Source organism: Homo sapiens, chromosome 4, assembly GCF_000001405.40.
Source record: "Homo sapiens chromosome 4, GRCh38.p14 Primary Assembly".
NCBI classification, from domain to species: domain Eukaryota; kingdom Metazoa; phylum Chordata; class Mammalia; order Primates; family Hominidae; genus Homo; species Homo sapiens.
In genome coordinates, this window is record NC_000004.12 from 95,399,988 (window position 1) to 95,422,653 (window position 22,666).

Here is a 22,666-nt window from a genome sequence, read left to right on the forward strand (position 1 = left end):
ATATCTTGAAATAATGGTCAACTTCCCAGTCATTAGACTTTGTTTCTGACATTGTTATAGATAAAGGTAGCCAATCATTTGCATATATATAGACTGTAGTGGACAACATTGTCACGGTGAACACATTCTAAGCAGGTAATAATGAGTTACATCATCCCCTCTCTTTGCGTGCAGAAGGAGCCTGTGACTTGCTTCTAACTAACAGAATCTGGCAAAGGTGACATAATGTCTTTCCCATCATTAGGTTACATTATACCTTGCTGGCTTTGAAGAAGTAAGCTGCTATATTCTGAGAGAGGAGAAATGTCAAGGAGCCTGTGGGAGCTCAGAGCAGACCTTGATCACAGCCAGCGAGAAAATGTGGCCCGTAGTTCCACAGCCACAGTGAGATGAATTCTTTTTTTTTTTTTTTTTTTTTTTTTTTGAGACGGAGTCTCGTTCTGTCACCCAGGCTGAGTGCAGTGGCACGATCTCGGCTCACTGCAAGCTCCGCCTCCCAGTTTCATGCCATTTTCCTGCCTCAGCCTGCCGAGTAGCTGGGACTACAGGTGCCCGCCACCACGCCCAGCTAATTTTTGTATTTTTAGTAGAGACGGGGTTTCACCGTGTTAGCCAGGATGGTCTCAATCTCCTGACCTCAGGATCCACTCGCCTCGGTCTCCCAGAGTGCTGGGATTACAGGCGTGAGCCACCGCGCCCGGCCCACAATGAGATGAATTCTGCAAACAACCTGAGGTGGCCTAGAAGTGGATCAACCTTCCAGTCCCCAACTCCACCCTGGGTTGAGCCTCGAATGAGGATGTGCCCCTGACCAACAGCTGCATTGCAGCCTGTGAGACCCAGGTAAGCCCTGCCTGGTCACGTAATTCACAGGAACTGTGAGATAATAAATGGATGTTTTCAGCTGCTAATTTTGTGGTAAATATTACAGGGGAGTAGGAAACTAATACAGCTGCCAAATCACATATGGAGCCAAATTGCCAGCAAACGGATTCTTTCTTCATTGATATTCTCATTTTCTTTTATTTTAACGACTGAGTTTTTGGATGTTAAGGTATTCTCTTTTTATTTTTATATTTGAGACGATTTTCTCACTAAAAGAAATACTTTTTGTCCTTGAGATATAACATTTGAGGTATTTTTCTTTTTTATTCAATATATTTTGTTAATTTGGAAGCTTCAATTTGTTCTTAGTAGAGTGCCTACCATGTGCAATACAGGAGGCATAAATTAGGGGAACTTCAGGGGGGTATTAAAGCTGTGAGCAAAACATAGGAGCTAATAATGTATTTATTCCTATTTTTATTATTTTTATTTTTTTATTTTTTTGAGACAGAGTCTCACTTTGTCACCCAGGCTGTAGTGCAGTGCTGTGATGATGGCTCACTGCAGCAGCCTTGAACTCGTAGGCTCAAGTGATTCTCCCAATTTAGCCTCCTGAGTAGCTGGGACTACAGGAGTGCACCACTGTGCCAGGCTAAGGTTTTTTTGTAGCTTTTTGCAGTGATGAGGGCTTAATATGTTGCCCAGGTTGGTCTTGAACTGCTGGGCAAGTAATCCTCCCACTTTGGTCTCCCAACGTGCTGGCATTAAAGGAGTGAGCCACTGTGCCTCACCCCAGTAATTTAATACAGATTGGGTAATAATCCTAAGAACTCAACATATATGTTCAGCGCCTCTTCGTGATATTTTCAGTCTAACCCTGAGAAGCTGAGTCAGAGCCCCTACTTGGGGCATAACAAGTAGCCCAGAGCCCGAAGGAGGTGAGACTCAGTGGATCCGAGCAGAGTTGTGTGATATACTTCCCTCTGGGAGGAGGCCAGGGACAATATTTTATTCACCTTTGTAATCCCCAGATGCATAGCTGACAATCAAACAATACAGATTTCTAATTGAAAGCTCAAGAGATATTACAGTACAATGGAATGTGGAATGTGTCAAGGATGCCTTTTCGAAAGTGGTATCTTACTGTGGTTCTTGAAGATGTGGACAGTGGTTATTACTAGAGAGATTGGCAAAATGCTGCTTCTCCTGTCTTCATGCAATTTCACATATCAATTATCTAGTTTTTGTCTAAAAGCTGTTTCTAAAGATGTATCATTTGTAGTTTTATTCATTTTGTGAAATGTAATGCTACTAATACAATATCTTCATTTAAATCCACTTCTACCTACTTGTAATTTTTTTCAGAATGCCTTCTAATTGATGCCATTATACATCTTAGATATCATCTGTTTTACTCCATTGGTTCTAATTTTTAAATGGCTGCTACCCTATTTATCATATTCATCAGATGTACATTTTCAGATTTCTCTCTTCTGCCTAGGCCTGCTGTCCTAGCATGCTAGAAGCACTGGACAGACAAGGAAGCCTTATGTTTAAGTGTGGGCTCTGTGATCAAGCACACTTCTCTCAGGGACTTATTTTGTATAATCAGCACAATCATTCTCCATTTGTTTATTTATTTAAAAAGTGCTTAGCCTTGAGGGGAATAAAAGTGCATAATAATGGTTCCCTCTGTTTCTGATCACACAGATAAATAGGAGAGAAGAATAAACAGATAATCCCAGAGGGCCTTAAAACATTATGGCACCTTAGTGTTACAGGGTAGTATTTGAGGACACATATAATATAAAGAAAAATATTTTGCAAGCTATAGCAACCCTCTATCACTATATAAATATGCTATAACACACATTTAGCAACTATGTCTCTTGATTGCAGCCTATACTTTCCTCCTCTACACTTTAGCCCATGCCATTTCTCTAGATTATTATCTGCAATTAGCTAAACCTTTCTAAATCTATTTTAAATCCTAGTTCCTTGGCAGCAATTTCTTTAGAGTCCCCTAGTCTAAAGAGATTGCTCCCTTTATTCTAAATTAAGAAACTAATAAGTCTCTTTGAGACATTTCTTCTATGGTCCTAACAGTGATCTGAATTTTCAGTGATTCACTTTTTCATGTATGAGATACTATTTCTTTAAAAATACATTGTAAGGTGTTTAAGATATCTTTTCAATTTGATGAGTATAAATTACTGCTATGTTCCATAGGATGTCAAGAACTTCACAGTCTTGGGGGAAGAAAGAGAAAATTAGACACGTGGGCCAGTAATTACTAAGTAGAACAAGGAATAAGTGTGGTAGGCAATAAAAATAAAAAAAGAGAAAAAGCTTGCATCTACTTGAGATAATCAGGAGAGGCTTTTCAGAGTAAGGCCATGAAATAAGCCTCTGAGTATTATTGAAATCCCAAAGGCAGAAACTGGAATCTGCTGGGAGAAGAACATTTGAAGAAACAGCCTGAGCAAACTCATGTTGGTAGAGCAATCTCGGGCATGTTCTTGAACAGGACAGGTGAGCTGGAACCCCGCTGCTGCTCAGTAGCTGGGAGTCACACTTGGGAACCAGCTCAGTGTGGAGATGACAAGAAGGCTTTTCATTTGATAGACAGCAGGAGGCCACTGAAAGTTTCATTTCAGGGAAGTCAATAGTACTCAATAAATACCTGCTAATACTTTCACTTTATTTCTGCTACTTTTCAAAACCTTGCCCCACTTTGGGAGCCATTGTAAATATTTTAAATATAATACCTTTATTATTGAAATAAAATAAATAGATGTTTTCCATATTCGTAGCAGCTACAGATGGATTACCATTTCCCAAGTGCATCTCCTCTGGTCTTTGTCCATCTCTATCTGGCTTACTCATCCACTGCACAGTTCTTCGGTGCTCTGTGGATCTTGTTCAATCCTTGTTTCAAGAATTTGCTTTAGGTCATAATTAAAGTAACACTGATATGTTTCCTCAGTAGTGTCTCTTGAATAATCTTTTACAATTCTCTCTTGTAATCAATAGGAGGGTATTTCCGAAGAGGCCAGTGTGGCTCACAGATGGATCGTTTTCCAGCCATTGAAAGCTACCTTGGGGGAAGGAAACTACTTAGCCTCCTGTGTGGTGAGTACATTAGACATACATAACACAATAATTAAATTGATGAACAGTCAATAGACTCTAAAGGCCTGGGAGGGAAAAACCAAAAAGCATGTAAACTTTCTTCTCTTCCATTTTTTTTGAAAAGAATCGCTTTTATTTTATATCACCAATGGACAAAAAACATAAATTAATAATGCAACTGTATACAATTCTTAAGCCATTTATAATTGCTGCTTATTTTCACAACGTTCTTGGGGAGAGGTCCAGGTATATCCCACATTTCAGTTAGATCTAACCATCAAAGGGAAATAGAATATTTTTGGACAAAACTACCCAAAGTATGTCAGAAACAAAAGTAGCCCTGAGTTATTTTGATTAGCTGCTGGTATTGATGAAACTCATTTCATTTCTGAAAGTACTGGATTAAAAAAAAATCAGCACCCAGGTATCGCTCTCCCTTTTTAAAAGCATTATAAGGTCAGGAAAATCATATTCCAAGGCCATAATGATATGCAATGAAGAGAACCAAAGTGGAGCCAGGGTTCTAGGCCAAAGCCCATGGATATAAATAGTTTTTTGCCTGTTACTATTCAACTGTATAATAATGGGCCACATACGTTCTCTGGGACACTTGTTTTCTCATTTATTAAATGAGTGTTGGCAGGGAGAATTCATCTTAATGATCTCTAAGAGTGCTACTGATGTGGACAGGACACAGGGAAATACAGATACAAGAGGGTGGTTCTCTGGCAAAGGCTTCACCCTCAAGCCTGTATATCTGCGGCCCTAAATGAGAACAGGAATTTCTGGTTTTGTACCCAAAAAGTTGCCATTTGGCCCACCATGCCCTCTATCCTGCACCCATATAAACCCTGAACCCCAAACTTCGGAGCAGAGCAGCAAGCCAGCAGATCAGCAGATGGATGGTGGAACAACGTGGCAGAGAAAGGGAGAAAAGGAGGAAGATCTGAACGCCGAGAGGAGTCTGGCTGGGGGCAGTTGAAGAGGAGTTTAGCCAGTGGGAGGCCCGACTCCTGTGGGGGATCACTTTCCCACTCCATGCCCCCCTTCCAGCTTCCCATCCATCCTGCTGAAATCTACCTCCACTGCTCAATAAAACCTTGCATTCATTCTTCGAGTGTGTGACCCGAATCTTCCGGGATGCTGGACAAGAGCTTGGGGTACAGAAAGCATCATATTGGCCCTCTGCTCTTGCAAAAAGGCAGAGCGTCCATTGAGCCCGTTAACATTCAAGCCATCTGAGGACAGCAAAGGTGAAAGAGCTTTGTAACTCTCGGGTTGCAGGCACCCACCCCTAGACACTACTGCAGAGCTGGAGCCCAAAGTACTCGCCCCGGCCTCTACATGTGCCCATCTGCATACTCCCCCTCACGGAAGGGGTTTGAGTGGTGGGAGCACTGAACAGGTGAGCCACACCTCTGTCACACGTCTTGTGGCCCTGTGAGGGGAATCAAAGAGCTCTTCCTTTTCACTATAAGCTCTAAAGCTCTATGAGACAGTTAGTCTGTTATTCTATCATTCCAGTGATCCTCAGGGGGATGACCTGGGTGGTTATCATCAGCTGCTTCATGATCTTTTCCTCCTTGCTAGTTGCTGCGAACCCAAAACAACCTGTGCCTATATTAAGCGCAAAGAAAATCCTTGAAATCTCAACATTTAAGAAATATAAGGGGTTTATTAAGAGATCTGAGCTGACTCCTCATTTTAGATGAGGAAGTAGAAGCAAATAAAAGTTACATGAACTGCCCAGGTCATATATTTGCCATGGACAGAACCGAAGTCCAGGTCTCCTGTTTTATTGCTGCGTGCCTGAACTTCCCACACGTTAGCTGTGTGTGCACCAGGCTCACAATTTCTGATATATTTTCTCACTGCCTTTACTATTATTTGTGAATATTTTCTTTGAAATGTATTAATGTTTTTACTGAGCACATTTATTATAAGAGGAAACTGTATGTCATCACAGTAAATGGAAATCAGAATCAACTGTCATCAATAGGTTACCATAATGTGAAATGAACATACAACTCTGTTTCATCATTTACTTAGATTCTTTTGCTTGCCAGAGGCCAGGGGTCCAAGGCGTCTCTGTTTGTTAAAAATGAAGATTAACAAATGTTAGGAGTTTTCCGTGGCACTAGCAAAAAATTGAGATCACTGCTTTAATGTCACGAGGACTGAAAAAAACAGGAACAAATCGACTTTTATGCTAGGTAAAGGTATGATTTCAATATTTCTTGACTCCTCAATACCATGACTTCTCACTTCATCCTGACATGAAAAACCAAATTACTGGTCCTGTTTCCCATGTCCCTGCTTTTCAGTGTTCTGCTTCCCATCTGTAGCAGTGCTTCATCTGCACTAATGTTGGGTTGGGTGAGCAGTGCCCTCCCCTCCAGTTAATGTTCTGCATTATACAGCATGGGCTTCCTGGAGATGGTGCCATGATCCATAGGTACCGTGGCAGGATTTTCAAAGACCTTGACATCATCTGAAAAGTTATTGTTTGATTCCATTAGGTCCATCCCTGATTTCATTTCTCTAAAATGAAACCTGACAACTGTAGTTTAGGCAGGGCTTATATGGGATGCAACTAGGGCAGACTTGATTCACAGTCCAAATTTATCAGTACATGGCAAAAAAATAGGTTGTATAACAAAACTAGGTCAAAACCCCTGATTTCTTTCACCGTCAGTCCCTTAAGCCACTCTACTTCATTAACAACGTTTACTCATTCTTTATTTCCAAGTTTAAATTTCTGAGTATAATTTATAGAGCAAATCAAAGACTGAGAAATAAGTGCATTATATGCTTCTGGAGAATTAAATTCAGATTCAAATCTTAAGGTTTCAAAATGTTAAGAAAAAGCAATTTATATATTTTTCAAAAGCTAGTTCACTTCAAACTATATTTTCAACAATTTCATGATTTAAAAATATGCTCACTCAAAAATGCAAACATTTGCCTTTAAAATCAAAATAATTCAGTGGTTATAGATGGCAAACTTAACAGACATAATGTTAAATGGACATTTTTAGGGGCTTCAAGAAGGAGGTATAAGTTATTGATTATACAAAAATGATTGTACTTTGCTCCTGAAATCCCCAATTCCAGTGAAGAAATAGAAAAGCTACAAACACTAGAACAAAGAGAATGGGAGAGTAGACAATAGCAGATTAAGGTTGTCAAAAACACTGAATATGAAAATAAGATGAGTTATTAAAAGCTAAAGTTTTAGATTATAAAGCTCTTATCTAGAATTTTATATGCAGCACAGTATCGATTGACTATATGAAGAGAATAAAGGTGTTTTTTGGGATACGAGGGCACTAAAATTTTACCTACTTATTCATTTTGAGGAAGATGCTAAAGGGTATGTTTCACCAGCTGTGGGGAGTAAAACATACAATGGGATGTGAGGAATTTCAAGCGGGAGGGTGTACAGTAAAAGTGAGAGGGTAGAGGCAGGGCAGTGGGCAGAGAAATCGCAGGTGGACACCTCACTTGTTCAACATTCCTGAAGCTAAAACCAATCATGCTCAGCTGAGACAAAGGGCAGGGGTCTCCAGAAGGATTGCATCCAAAGAGAAACAGACAAATTACATGATGTGTGTAGTTTTTCTGGAATTTTATGGAAGCACTTAGGGATACATTAATTTTAGTATGTAGAAATCTAAGGATGAGGAGAGAGAGAGAGGCACAAAGAGACAAGTTATTAACTTCAATTAAAACAAGAAGTCATACAAGAAAGTAAATAAATTAATATGATGATTCACCTTCAAATAACATTTGTACAACCAAGAGGCTGTAAACACTTAATGCTAATTTATCCAAAAGGCGTTATATTACTGTATTGGGCAGCTAGGAGAGGGGAGCATATGGAATGGAAAAAGGGCTCATAACAGGGTGAAATTGCAATTTGCAATAGTTGAAAGTCAATCACAGATGGCTAAAAATGTTAAGAATAATAGAATAAACACTTTACTTAGGAATACCTGGGTAAAAACCAGAAGAAATGATTAGAGTCAAAAGTAAGTGGGTTGCTCAGCAGTTAGTAAGGAATTATTTGGCTTTTTAAAATGTCATGTTTTACTATTATGGTAAAAATATATTACACATTTACTTAATCTATAAATTAAAGTAATTCCATTATGTTGTTAATGTATTGTTAAATACATTCATTTTAAAATAAATTGTTAATTCAATAAAGACTTCAAAGCAGATTTTTATAAAAATTGAATACAAAATGCAGCAAGCATATTTCATTGTCATAGGATATTCAGATGCTTCTGAAATATCTAATCTACTATGTGCTTTAAATGGCTGGAAGTATTTTTGAGACTTCTGTGAAATGAAAATACTTCTGATTGTCTAGCTAAAATTCTCTGTCTATAAGATACCAAAATTTTTCACCTGCAACTTTCCTTTTCTGTTCTGTATCACATAAATGCATTCAGTCTGTTTTCATTAGTGCTTTTGTCTTTGGAGTCAATCATTCTAAATATAAAATATTAAAACATGATGAACTATAGAATCTTTTTGAATTGCTCATCTTCTGTATGTTAGATTTCTAAGGGAAATCTTCCTCTCTCAATAGTAAAGCATTTGTTACCAAGTATTAAAAAGCAGCACAGTCAGTATTATTTGATATATACTAACTGAACACTGAACCGTTTAATAAGAAAGAGAATCAAGTTTGGCCTTTCAATACACTGAAATATTTGTGCTTAGGGCACTGAAATATTTCTAATATAAAAATGTGTAAAAATTTATTTCTGGGTTTACATTATACACAAGAGAGCAGAAAATATATACAAGAGAGATTTTTAAAGACAGAAAGACATTTCTCTTCAAATATGAGATAAGGGTGATCTACAGCATGTAAGTATAACCTTAAGTATAACATGGAATAACCTTCCTGAAGATTAGAGGGTTGAGAATAATACCCCCTTTCACTTGGGAGCCTATGATTTGACTCACACCCACATCATTTAGAGAAATGAACAGACTGAGATAGCCAATGCTAGCAGAGCTACCCATGATCCGAATTTACAAAGAGGCAGGTGAAGTACACAGTTTGACAAGTTAGTTTTTTTAAATAACAATTGACTTATATTCTAGATTATTTGATTCTCTTATTTCAAGCCACTGTCAATGCTTTATCCTCACATAGTTCAAAACGCTTTGCAAGAACTTTCCTATCTATCAGATTAGTTCCACCTCACACAATCATTAGGAGGTTAAATAACAAGCATTACTATTCTCATTCCAATGACAAAAAAGACTCAAAGGAGGTAAATGACTTCTTTGCTCTTTGTTTATCTTTAGGAAAAAAAATGAAAATATGACTCAGGACTCTTGTATTTCCTGTCTAATCTTTGCACTCTCATCCATCACTCCCAACCTGCAGACATCAAACAGTTCAAGGGACTCAGGATAAGGTTAAAATGTCCACATTCTTAACTCCAAATTCAAATCCAGCATTATCTTCAGAAGGAATCAAGAATATATCCTACACATATGTATAACTCTATTTTTCAAATGTGCATTAATGTTGCTCTGATGAATAAAATACACACTTGTGTAAAAGCTTTCTATTGCATTCACAATTGCCTTTTATCTTTATGTATCCTCAAATCAATGGATATTAAAAGTACAACTACTTAGTGAAGGTGGGCACAATTTTTTGGTACTGAAAAAAAATATCCTCTATGAGTCCAGTTGGGGGATATGTCTCTTGGACAGGCCCTCATTGACCAGGCAAACTAAATCAAGCACCCACTCTGCCCACCATTCCCTATCTCAGTCCTTTCTCCTCTTCATTGCATTCACAAGCATTCTATCTATTTCTTGACTTGTTTGAGGATCTGCTCTGCTCCATTCCTCACCTGTCACAAGAGGCTAATGTCTGTCAGGGCATAAGCAGTGCTGCTCTTGTATGCCTCTATGTGCGCCTAGGGCTGGCCTGACATCAATGAGGGGCTTTGTGTAGCTCAGCTGACTTAACGTTAAACCAATGTTTCCACACCCAATCTCCCAGTGGGCTGATGGCTCTACCCTCTTATAGTAGATGATCACAGTGTAAGCAGAAAATCAACCATGGCAATGAAAATAGTGACTGCTAGTGATTTTGGGGTGTTTAGCATGCCATGTTAGTACCTTACTATGTATTATATAATACTTGTACCCCAGCCTGTAAGGAGGGTATTACTCCTTCTTCTTTGCAGATGACACCGCTGATTTTCAGAGAAGTTAGGCACTGTTGTCCTGGACTGATGCACCTCTTAATTATATCTGCATGTTCCTAAAACCAGCCCTAATCCACTGGGTTGTAATGTCCCTGTACCACTCTAAATGCATGATACCTCCTACTAGGTCCCAGTCTCATTAATGAAAAGAAAAAAGGAAAAAAGACAAATGGATTTCACCCAAGGGGTTACCTGCCTTCTCTTACTTATGCACATTTATTTAAGACTCCACCTCTTCTTTAGAATTCAACAGATGTTTCAGCGTTCACTAAAATACCCCATTATTTTTCAGTGAGGAAGAGAAGAGGGTGGAGTCAGAGATGCTCACAAAGGGAAGTTTGTGATGCTGAATCAGACTCAGAGCTGAAGTGCAGGCAAAAGATGCTGCTACCGCCCAGAGCAGAATGAAAGAGCCACTTTGTTAGTACTGGGGGAGAGTGTTAGGGGATGCAGCGTTTAGCTAGAAGAAAGTCAAGCCTCAGGCAGAAATCAGGGCAATTATTGAACAGATCTGGGGGCATCACATTCACTCTGAACACTAGAGATGATGGCCTTCTGCTCAGAAGCAAATGACAGCATTCAAATGTGGATCCTACCCCAATCAAGCCCCCACCCTGCTCGCCCAGTGTACAGAATCAAAGGGAGTTGGACACTCAGCCTAGCTCTGCCTCAGGGTTGACAAATGTGAGATCAGCCCCTCCTCACCACCACCTGGTTCCCTCTGGACCTTCTAATGGTTTGGAGGGCAGAGGAATAATGTAATTTGTCAGGAAAGGGACAAATGCTGCAATAACAATGTCCACCTAAACTGGCAAATGCTTGGTTTAATTGTCTCTACAAGTCAACCTAGCAGGAGTTCAGCAGGGGAAGCTGATGATCCAAAAGAAATTATTTTCTTATCTGTTATTGAAAATTTCAAAGAAAACACATGCCACAGCCCCTCGGGACAAACCAGAGAATGACCAGGACAGGGAAGATGGATGTCTTCCAATGTCTTGGCATATCTAACTTTAAGATATTGAGTATACTATCATAACTTTCTGCCTGAAACGTCTTTATTAGAGGAACAAGATTTATGTTTTTGGTCTAGGGGGCAAAAAAAACCCTCAGATGTCCACAAAGGATCCTCTGTAAGTCACTCAGCCTATCTGATTAGGGGTACATAGTGCAGAATTTTAAAGAGAAAGTTATCTTCTTTTGGGTGGCCACATTTCCCAACCTTGCAATTTACTTTATCCATTCCCTTGAGCTTTCTGGCACATTATGTTACTTTTTTGGTTTCTTTTAGAAGTTCCTGCAGGAAATAGTAACTCTCTGGTTTCCTGATTTTCAAAAATGAATGTTCACATATGTTTAGCATCAGGCTGTTTTGTATCCAACCGTAAATCTGCACACTACAGGAAAAGTGCATGTATTTTAAATAATTCACATACTGCAGTACAAACTTGCATTTCACTGGAGGAAATTAGGCAGATTAGAAATTCATAAATTGGATCGCAATCTCTTTTCTTTGTAAATTTAAAATCATACTAGTTGGCTAAGTGATATTTAGGAGAATACAGTTAATTATTAACTTGAAACTTTTCTGATGGATTTCAGCAGGGGTAACTGGATCTCAGACTAGTCATTGTGTTCCCTCCAACCGGCCCTCTCCTGCCTGTATCCACTGCTACTGTCTTCGTTAAGGACCTTCTCATTTCTTGCCTAACAACTGCCAGAGTCTCCTAAGTGGCCTTCCCTGGCCTCTTGTCATCACTCTCTCCCACCACTTCTCCATAATGCTGTGGAATGTTTTTTTTTTTTTTTCCTAAAACCTAATTCTAGTCATGTCAGTGTCTGCTTTAAATCTGACCTATTTCTTTACAATATAAATGCCCACTTCCTGGTTGGCATAGTGTCCTGCGTGAGCTTCTTCATCTCATCTCTGGTCATTACTCCTCTCTTCCTCAACACTCACATTCAAGTCATGCCAACTGACTTGTAATTCTCCAGAGTGTGCTGCTTTAAGCCTTTTAATGTTCGTACCTGTTTCTCCATCTTCTCCAAACTACCCTTCTCAATCCTCTTCACCACGTTAATATCGCTCCACACAAAATTCCAATCTCATATTAATATTGTATTTTCCATGAAGAATGTGCCCCCTGAACACCTTCTGTGTGGCACAGCTGTGCCAGGGGAGGTTTCCAAGGACCCTGCTTTTCTTTTCTCACACTTGATGGCAATCTCATGTTAGGTCCCCTCCAATCCTAGACTGGAAGCTCCTTGAAGGAACTGACCTTTATCTTGAGGTTGTTTTTCAAGTATTGAGAGCTGTGCCTGACACAGAATCATGGACACTCGATAGATGTTTGTTGGATAAATGAATATATTAAGAATACACTGAGAAGTCACCAGATTTGGTATGATATGAGAAACAGTGTGAAGTCAATTGTCTCCCCCACAAAAAAATTACTGATGCCTGAAAATCTACCATTTACAATTTATTTCATACATGATTTATTGCCTTATTCATGTAAGACAATTAATATGTAAATATTCTTGTGAGAGTTAACACAATGAGTCACCAACTGACCCTGAAGTAGTTTTTGGGTTCCCGCTGTCAACAGAAAGAATGGGAGAGCATACGTTGCAAGAAATAGGTGGTAAGAGAAAGGCCAGGTAGCAAAAGGGTGAGGCTGGCATGGACAGGAACAGTAGAGAAGGATTAAAGCAACTTTGTCAGCTTCCTAATTTTCCCTGGCATGAGTACTTACTTTCCATCTACATACCCAGGATTCTCTCTCGACTTCCTTCACTTCTGCGAATTGAACAAAAGTCAAGAGGGAAATTTTTTATTTCACAGGTACAAAACATATTGGTAAGCAAAGAATGAATCCCATGTGACCCTCTGATAAACTCACCTTCCCTCTTTACCACACTCAGTTCCCCAAACTCATATGCCAAAGCCCTTGCCACATTCCAACCTCCTGATTTACAGCTTTCCTTGATTTGTTGGAGTTATAATTTGCTTTCATAATCCTGAGGCAAACCCTGGTCAGTTTTCTGCAGTGGCCTCTCCTCCTCTGCTTCCAGGATCTCTCATAGCACTGTAAATGCAACGCAAGCAGGATTTTCCTAGCTCTCTGGAGATGCCCACAAGAGTGCTGACCTATATTTCCCTGCTGCCTCCTCAGCCTTGCTTTCTCAAGGCCCACCCATGGTGGGGCCTGGCTGCCAGCAATCTCCTACAGAAGGCCAAACTCCCTTTCAGAATTGCCATTCATCAAGCTCATCATCCAGGCATCATCTAACATCTAATTATTCTGATTATGCCACATTTGTATGGAGGGTCTTATTACCTTTGCACTTTATTGAATATAATACGATTCAGAATAATCAACTGAATTCATCTTCCCAGTGGTGGAAATGAAGGTTTGAAAGCTACACAGACTGCGGAAAGTGTTTTCTGGGACTGTGTTCTACCTCATTTTTGTTCCTTTCCAAATAATAACACTTGTTCATTAAAAACATGTTTCTCTCAACTAGTTGAAACCATTTCCGCGTAGCCTATTTGCAAGTCCCTGCAACAGCCAAGAAAGCAGAAGAACATAAATATTCTATAGCAGCTACCTGGGTCATCTGGCTACACAGCTCCCTACTGCACACCCTGCAAATGTACAGGTGTCAAATTAGCTGCAGAACAGCTCCCTGGTTGTCCTTTTCTATGCAAGAGACAGCCTGCAAATGGGAAGGTTGTGTCTTTACCATCAAAGAAAAGCTGTTCCATAATTTGCACTCAGATCCAAATGCAGAGCCAAATATGTCAGTATCTTATTAAATAGTGGAGGCACATGGGCAACTACCAATTTCTCTTTGATCAGATGTATGTGTTACCCCCAAATATCACACCAGGTTAATTTATTCAATAGCTCAAATGGTTGGTAAGTAAATCTGAAATTAAGGAGAGGTTCTTTTATCAGATATTTGGAATCCCCTTAAATTTCCTGTTGCAGTTTCTGCCCTTTCCTTCCCCTTTTCCCCACCTCCCCCCCACAAAAAATAGGTCTGGTAGAGAGAGAAAGTTACCAAAAAAGAGCAGATAAGAAAAAAGAAGATGGAGGGTCATACTGACGAAGAAATTAAGCAAGGGTCCAAGGGTCTACACTTCCTACAAAGGCCACTCTATGCTGCCAACACCTCCCGGGTGGCTTGCCAGTGTCCCCAGACACAAGCTGAGTAGGCCACTCGGGTGGCTTTCCTGTGAAGCCTGTCAGCAGTGATTTAAATTCTGTTAGGCAATGGGAGGTCTTACCTGAATTTATTGGCAGATGATGGCAAAAGCAGAGTATAAAGAAAATACCTAGCAACGAAGGTCCTTAGACCAAGCTGTTTTTGTATTTAACATGAACACAGAGCTTATTACTGTGTGGCCACAGGGATGTGAACACTTCGTGATGTCAGCTTTCTCTAACCCTTAGTCCACATTCTATTCTAATAAAATATACACGTACATTTAAAGTAAATTCTCCTCTATATGAGGATATTAATGCCTATAACCTTATCCACATGATGTTAATGAGAGGCAGAAACCCATAACCTACTATTTTGAGGTAATTTATTCAGGTTCAGGAAAATGTCTTTGAACTTAAACACATTTTCTTCAAGGAGGTTATACAGTGCAGTGAAGGAGAGAAAATGATCTGGATAATTATGCTGAAAAGATGAAGAAAAGAATTTTGGAGATTATTGTGACCTTTCTTTTACAAGTGGGAAATAAGATAAAATCCAAATCTTCAGTACAATAATATTTACTCATCATATTAAATTCATATAACTGTAAGCCTCTCCCTTGATTATAAATCCATTTGAGCCTGGGCCATCGCAGCCAAGGATTTCTTTCTTTTCTTGTCTTCTGGATACTTTAGCCAGAGCTGTCACAGACTCCTTTAACTCTTAAAGGGATCACCAGAAGCATGCATGTAAAAGAACCAAGTAAATAATTTTCTAAAATTCTAGGCATGCAAAAGTTTCATTTGCCATTAATATTTGTCTCAACATAGTCTACATTTATTGGCACCCTCCTACTTTCTTCTTTTAGTCACAGCTTTCTACTTCAAAGTTCCCAAATACAAGAGGGCAGTGATCCTCAAGTAGCTCAGCAAAAGATATCATTAAAATTGTTAAAAAAAAAACAAAACAAAACCCTACAGCTTCCTATCCCTAACGTGGCTTTCTGAAACCAAATCTCAGAGGAGGGATCAGATGATTCATAGCAAACTCTTGGAGTTGTCCTTAAGAAAACCAACCAAAGAAGCAAACAAAAAAGGCAAGTAGATGAAAATCATTTAATGATTGAGTTGATATTTATTGAGGGTTGTTTATGTGCCACTTTTCTTGTCTCTGGTCACTATTTACACACTATTCATAAGGTCAACTGTCTGGTTTTCGTAAGTTTGATGACTCATTTTTGTAAAGTTTGATTTTTAAAATAGGGTTATTATATGCATCAGAACTCATTCCCAAAACAACTTGATGGTTAGCAACCTTCGTGGATTGCTATAATTTACTCATCCATGATGAGTAAATTAGAAAGTATGGAATAACTAGAGTAGGTTTATTGCTTAAATTCAGAAAGTACAGGCGTTAAATGGCAACCCTAAGAATGATCCTATCATTCTAAACAAAGATCTTTACTTTGAGACCACATTTCAAGTGCCTTGAAAGTCACTTTTTAAAATTGTTGTTTTTTTTTTCACTCTGGCAATAACTGAAAGACAATTATGTCTCCTCTCATCCCCCAATCCCCAACTTCAAAGCTAATCAGATCATATAAAACGTGATGGAAATGGGCATGTTAAGATAAAATTGAAAAAATAAGCAAGGGAAGGGAGTCTTTGGAATACATTTATTTGTGAATGTTCGGAGGGCAGACAAATAGCTGGAGAATGGAAAGTAGAAAGATTTAAGCCCATGTGAGGAAGAACCTTTAAGTGCTTATTTTACAGAATGGGCTGGCTGGTCAGCAGAGACCAAGGAAACATCTGTCAGTATTACTTTAGGGACTAGACTAAGAGTTTGGAAAGAATACAGGCTAAATAAGAATTTTTAGAGTGAGGAAGTGCTTACATCGTGATGTGCACTGTAGCTTCCCTAAAGAACTAGAAAGTTTAGTTTAAGACAGGTTCATTCCTCAGTTCATCCTTGAACAGTATTAGCCTGTAGGAACTGAGTGGAACAGTAGGGAGTATCTTGGGGACAGTGACTAGCATAAAGTCTCAAAGAAAAAAGTGAGGGGAGAAGGGTGCGGGTATGATGGCACTCCTCTGCTGTCATATTAAGTGCGACATGAATTCTCTGGCTAGGAGGTAGAAAGAAAAATAATATGTGAAAGTGAAAAACAGGTATTATTTGATTCAGGTTAAATGGAGACATTCGGACAATTAGGACAGTTAGATCCAGTTCACATAAATATGCTTTTATCAGCATTGCAAAAATATGCTTTCACTTTCAAAACTTCTATGGTATCATTATCAAAATGTCCACATGCCATGTCCAAATCACAGAGCAGCAGAACCAAATACCTGATATAATTAAATAGCTTGTACTTCTTGAAAAAGTCAGAATTTAATAGCGTGTGCAATGTAAAGCTGTTTGAAAGGACCCTACAGCTAGCAGAGTGCCCATCCTGTCACCAGGTAAACACTCAACAAAGATTTACTGAATGCATATATTAGAGCTACTGAATGCTTATGATAGCTCACTTCTGGTCCAGAAATTTAAAGAGTGACAAGTCTGTAGTCTCATTTAATTCTTGGAATAGCCTTATAAGGTAGATTCTATGACAATTCTCTTACTGGGGAGAAAAGGGGGCCAAGGAACATGCCCAAGGTAAGTGTGAGAAGCAAGATTTAAATCCAAGTTTGTTGAACAAAAAACTGGGCTGAATGAACTCCATATGCTTTTCTTGCTCTTACATATATTTTTAATACATTTCAAAATGAGTGCCGTCGGGATCTCTGCAGTATGAAGACTTAGAGCTTCAATGGCACACCGGAAAATGAACTGCACATGGAAATGATTTTGCCAGGTGGAGATTTAATAAATCTTTTCACAGATATTAGCCCCGTAAGTCCTGAATGTGCATTAAGTTTAATCATTTGTTTTAAATATGTCTCCACACGCACAGAGCTCTTTGACCTATATTGTTATTATCATTATTAATAAACTTCTAGTATTTGACATCATGCACTTGTTGCATAGTGATTTTCACATTTAGTGAGTAGGAAAAATCTTCCTGATGACCATTTTGTAATTCTCTTTCAAAATGTTTCCTTGGGATGCTGTTCAGATTGATTAAAAACCAATTTAGGGAAAAAAGGAGGCAAGCATCTTCAGTTCCTAAGCTAATTAGCAATACATAAAATCTCTATAATTGACATAACATTTCATAGTTGTATTTCCTTATGCATAAGATGATTATGTATGAGGCAGAGCCAAGGCAGGAAGGAACGGGGGCAGGCACAAAGGGAATGAGTAGGTGAGTAGGTGAGTGTGCACACATAGGACTGCGTGTATGCTTCTGACATCGTGCCAAGTCCAACTAAAAATGTGGTTGCTGTTGTTTATCATCACCACATCAATTCTTTCTTCTCCTTTGATCTGTTCTCAAACACAATTAAAACAACTATATATGAACACAGATAATACAAAGCAATTGAAATTCATTTTCCTGTGCTTCCTTTCCTGCACCTTTACTCCTGTCCCTCTGAGCATCAGTTAGACTCTTGCTGTATTTTGTTCCAAAGAAAATGACTTACTGATATATTAAGGCAATTAATGGTCTCAAGAAGTGATTAGAAACTTTATGGTGACTCCTTCTTCCATGTGGTGTGATAGTAGGTTAGCGAATGAGCAAAAAGTCATTGGGGAACTGTTTTTAGAATGGGTTGCTTCTTCCAAATTCATCTTAGGGACAATTCCTCCACTTAGGTGAAGGAGCAGTGAGGACCTAACCTCCAGGACTTTAGACTCATATTTTCACAGCCTTAGTCTTGCTATAGTGAATAATTTACATTTCAAAGCAATTGCATTTTTCTTTGAAATATCAGTTTGTGATTATTGTTCTCTTTCAATGTTCAATTCTAAAATTATACAAGTTTCATTAGAAACGCGATGACAAGAGGTTTTTCACTTTGATTCATTGACAATTTTTGTAAACCAGGAGAAGTGTTACATTATCTTTTAAGCAATTTTTAGACTAAATGTGGTTAGGAATTTTAAGAAACAAAATTAAGAAAGAAATGATGAAAACAAAATGTATTACAAGTAATCATGCTGTGATCTAAAATGTATATTTGAATAGGGATGCCATTCTGGGGTTGAGAAGTATAATATTTATAGTAACTTGAGGCCTACTTTTTACTATAATAACATGAATATCATTTACTGAGTAAGCACCAGCTGTCCATGCCTCTCTGACTCCTGACCATCTATTTAAAAACTAGAAAAAGAAAAATAGAAAACATGTTATCAAATACCTCTAGCCATTACATAGAACATGTGAAGCTTTCAGTGGTAATAAAAAAATATCCAACTTTCTTTAGAAAGATGATAAACAATTACAGAGAAGTCCCTGTTCTTCATCACAATCAGGGGCCAATACCAATTTCTCACAGCACATGTGCAGCCCAAAGTCTAGGACGAACTCCATTCCTCCTCCTCTGTTCTGCCCTTCCCCTGCCTCCTGCCCCGACTTCAGAATGTTTTCCTGGTGCTCACTTTCTGTATATCTGCCTTTAGTCTGATTCTGGAAGATCCACCTCATTAGATGAGACACGATGATCTTCAATATTTAAGCATCTCTTATTTTTTCCCATAAAGAGATATTTAGAATTGAAATAATATAAACAAAAATATAGACTTCCTTAGATAAGTCAGTATTCGAACAGCTGAAACACTGATATCAAATTGGTGTTAAATGATGGGTGGAGATGGAGAAAGATTATCCCCAGGTGGTTCTTTTGTTGGTCTCTAAGTATACCACCAAGCTTCCTCAGTTTTGTATCAGGGAAGTTAAGATGATAAGGTAACCCCATAATGTCAACATATATGGAAAAAAGTAATTCTTAATGTTTAAAATAGATAAAAACCCTTAAGAATTCTCTAATAACTGTCATAAAACCTAGCATTTTACTCCATTTGCCTTTTTGCCCATGGGTTCTTTATGATAATATGAAATTTACTTTCTGTTAAACCATTTTACCTGTGAACATAAAGAAATCATAATTGATCTTCTGGCTTTTTGAGAAAAGGTGAACACTGAAAAGAGATTGTGTTCCCTCCAACTTCAGAGAGGATATGCTATGGCTCTCAGCAGTCAAATGCAGCTGGCTGCCAGCAAAGGATTTCTGGTGAATGCTATTTATGCCTACTCAATTAAAGTAAACATATATTTATTGAGTGCTACTGTACATAAACCAGAAATGCTGCAGTAATATAGTAATGCAGTCACCACCCCACTACCCCCAAACACTCAAACTTTTCTTCTGTCAGAGCTCTGGGCCCAAGGAATCCATTTATAGACTGATGCTTTTCTGGTCCATGTTGAACATTTATAAAATAGCAACTACTCTTAAACCTGTACTGGATATACTAGATAATATTCAATACCCCAAACAAAGGATCATTGGCCTCTAGAACTTAACTCCTAAAATGTAAGCTCGGAATAGCTCAGATGTTCTTACAGAAATAGACAGGATGGATATTTTTTACAATGGCTTTTTATGTTTAAAAATATCTTATAACACAATACTTCCACAATTTTGATGGTCTGTCTTTTTATTACAAAGAAATGACATTATCAACATTTCCTCTTGAGATGTCTTAAGTATGAATACCTATAATCAGATGCGAAAACAAAGCATCCATAAGCAATTAGTATGTGTTAATTTATTCTACACTTACTGTGTGTTTGAAAAACGATGGATCAGGTTAAACGTTTTATTGGAAAATATTATCCACCTATTCCCTCCAAAATATGATGAAAGCTCATTGAACAAGTACCAAGACAGTAACTTTAGGTTCTAATTCTTGTTATTTTTTGTTGTTACATTCATGTCTAATATAAAATCCAGGAAGGTTTAGTCTACTGTGTAAGCAATTTCATTGAGAATGCTAGACATATTTGTGTCAATGGGGACACATAATAAAATAATCAATATTTTCATAAGTCTAGAGATTTAACAAATCTAATTTGTTCTAGTTATTAGCCCTTACACTCTTTTATTTTTAAAAGGGAATTGATAAATATGTCCCAATAAAACCTTATGCAACTATGTTTTATTGATGCATATGCTAAAATATATAAAATATTTTTTAGAGTTCTAAATTGGCCTAAACTCATTAGTCCATTTGTTTTCCTTCTTTTAAATGGAATTGCCTTTTAGATTTTACAACAATGACCTATAAGAGTAAACAATTTCAACGAAAAACTGGTTTCAATAAAAAGGTAGAAAACATTATCTTATCTTTCACAGGGGGCATCTGTGGCTGAATACACCATCACTGTGGGTGACATGGAAAAGATACATGAGACTCAAAGAAGGACTAGAAAAGGGAAATATAAATAATCCAGGTTACATTTTAAAAGAGGCATAACTTTATAATGAAGAAAAGTTTCCACTAAATAAGGACAAAAGCTGCTTTGATCAAATTCTATAAAATCATGGGATTAGCACTTAAGATTATGAAGCCTAAAACCAAGGCCTTCCTGGCATTTAATTCCAGATCTGCTACCTATTAGAATTTAAAATTTGGGACCTGTTCTCTAAGAATCCTATCTTCAATCTCTAGAATGTTCTTGTTCAGCTTTTTCACTCCATCTGGGCAAATAGGACCAAGACTTCTCCCCTTCTCCATTATTAGACATGTATTTTCAACCTAAAATCCCCTCTCCAGTCATTTCTATCCAAACAAATTATACTGGATCCTCAAAATTTTACATCAGAATCACTTCCATGTGATCTTTTTGGAACAGATTTTTATGACTCTAGTTCCTCTAAAAGTTTCTTTACTATAGAATAGCTGTAGTATAACTGTAGTTTATTCTTCATAAAGGTTGGCCATGCAGACAGACAGCATAAGAGAGAACAGGGGAGACCCCAATAAGCCCACTGTTCTCTGGCCTACATTGCCACCCTTCATTTCTAGGATACATCTATTTTTCAACAAAATTGGAAAAGTAAAAATAAATTATATCCAACATATTTATCGAACATCTATTTGAATGCTTGTTGTTCTTTCAGGTACTATGGTAGATTTTTTTTTTTTCAAAGATTTGTTTTGGTTTCTGCTCTTAAGGAGATATCTATTATTTGATATTTCATTCAAAACAAGAATCAGAATGTTAAAACCAAGATTGCTTCATACTCCTACTATACACTCTCTTTTACACACACACACACACACACACACTGCTAATTGTTAACACAATAGTTCTCATCAGATTATGAAATATAATCATGTTTGACAAACACACGTTTATGAATAATTTACTATAACTATTTCAGGCCCTCAAAGTAACACTCTTCTTACTGTGTTTTTGAGAGCACTCAGTCTGCTAATTATGTTGCATGGAAAAGTCCCCATCATATCTCCTATTATGGATTTTATGGTTCATTTTACTGACATATTTTTTCCTCTTTATTATCGAAGACTTAGCTGCTTTTCTTTCTCTAATACTTTACTACTAAGACAGGAAATCAAGTTGATAATGTCCTATGGATCATAACAACTTCATTTATTTGCACTAGCAAAAGATCTGTGGTAACAGCAAGGGCCAACAGAGCACATGTCAGATGTGCTGACTGGTCCCAAGACAGCAGGCAACATGAAACAAAAAAGAGAAGTTCAAGACCTCACTGACGACAACAAGCTGCAGCAACAGCTTCCCAGCTGAGTGACACCAAGCCCATAATGGAAACGTTACTCGTTTAGGTAGGCACACATGAAATATTAATTTCCTGGATTGTCTGCATTTGCATAGTAATATTAAGTTCATCTTCTTGGCATGTTATGGTCTCAATTAGCAATTCTATTGTCATACCTGAGATTTGGGGAAGGAAGGAAAAGAGTAGGCTGTAGACAATTTCCCTCTGGAAACAGCAACACTAATGGAGCTTATCACTCCCATCATTAATTTAATCAAAAACCTTAAGGCAGAGGGCTAAAGCAATCTGTTAAGAAAACATTTTCTAAAATGAGAATGCTTCCCATTTCAATTAGGGTCTTGCTCTTTTTTTCTCTTTGAGACATGTTTTTTTCTCTCTATGCTCTCTTCCCCACCTCCCATACCCGCCACTGATTAGATTTGCAACCGGGGGCTGTATTTTTTTCCAAAGAATGTTTTCTTGCAAACTGACAATTCTGCAACAACATCCGTCGCCTCAACCTTCTTAACTGACTTGTTTTTTAAGACATCTCAA

At 38.0% G+C, this 22,666-nt stretch overlaps 1 protein-coding gene and 1 long non-coding RNA gene across 3 annotated transcripts in view, besides 2 other annotated features; one reads left to right on the top strand and one right to left on the bottom strand.

Annotated features, from left to right (window-relative positions):
• Positions 1-22,666, bottom strand: part of UNC5C (unc-5 netrin receptor C) — a 386,470-nt gene that overhangs the window by 237,484 nt on the left and 126,320 nt on the right. The gene's annotated exons all lie outside the window — the stretch shown is intronic.
• Positions 70-570: an enhancer, noted in NCBI's record as "H3K4me1 hESC enhancer chr4:96321208-96321708 (GRCh37/hg19 assembly coordinates)". NCBI's record gives its function as "activates a minimal SCP1, AML or CMV promoter by ChIP-STARR-seq in naive H9 embryonic stem cells {active_cell/tissue: H9 hESC(naive)}" and the evidence as "EXISTENCE:reporter gene assay evidence [ECO:0000049][PMID:30033119]".
• Positions 571-1,071: an enhancer, noted in NCBI's record as "H3K4me1 hESC enhancer chr4:96321709-96322209 (GRCh37/hg19 assembly coordinates)". NCBI's record gives its function as "activates a minimal SCP1, AML or CMV promoter by ChIP-STARR-seq in naive H9 embryonic stem cells {active_cell/tissue: H9 hESC(naive)}" and the evidence as "EXISTENCE:reporter gene assay evidence [ECO:0000049][PMID:30033119]".
• LOC124900736 (uncharacterized) lies at positions 942-22,149 on the top strand. The gene is made up of 3 exons (XR_007058194.1): positions 942-1,054; positions 3,859-3,957; positions 21,995-22,149. It is a non-coding gene; the product is annotated as an uncharacterized LOC124900736 (long non-coding RNA).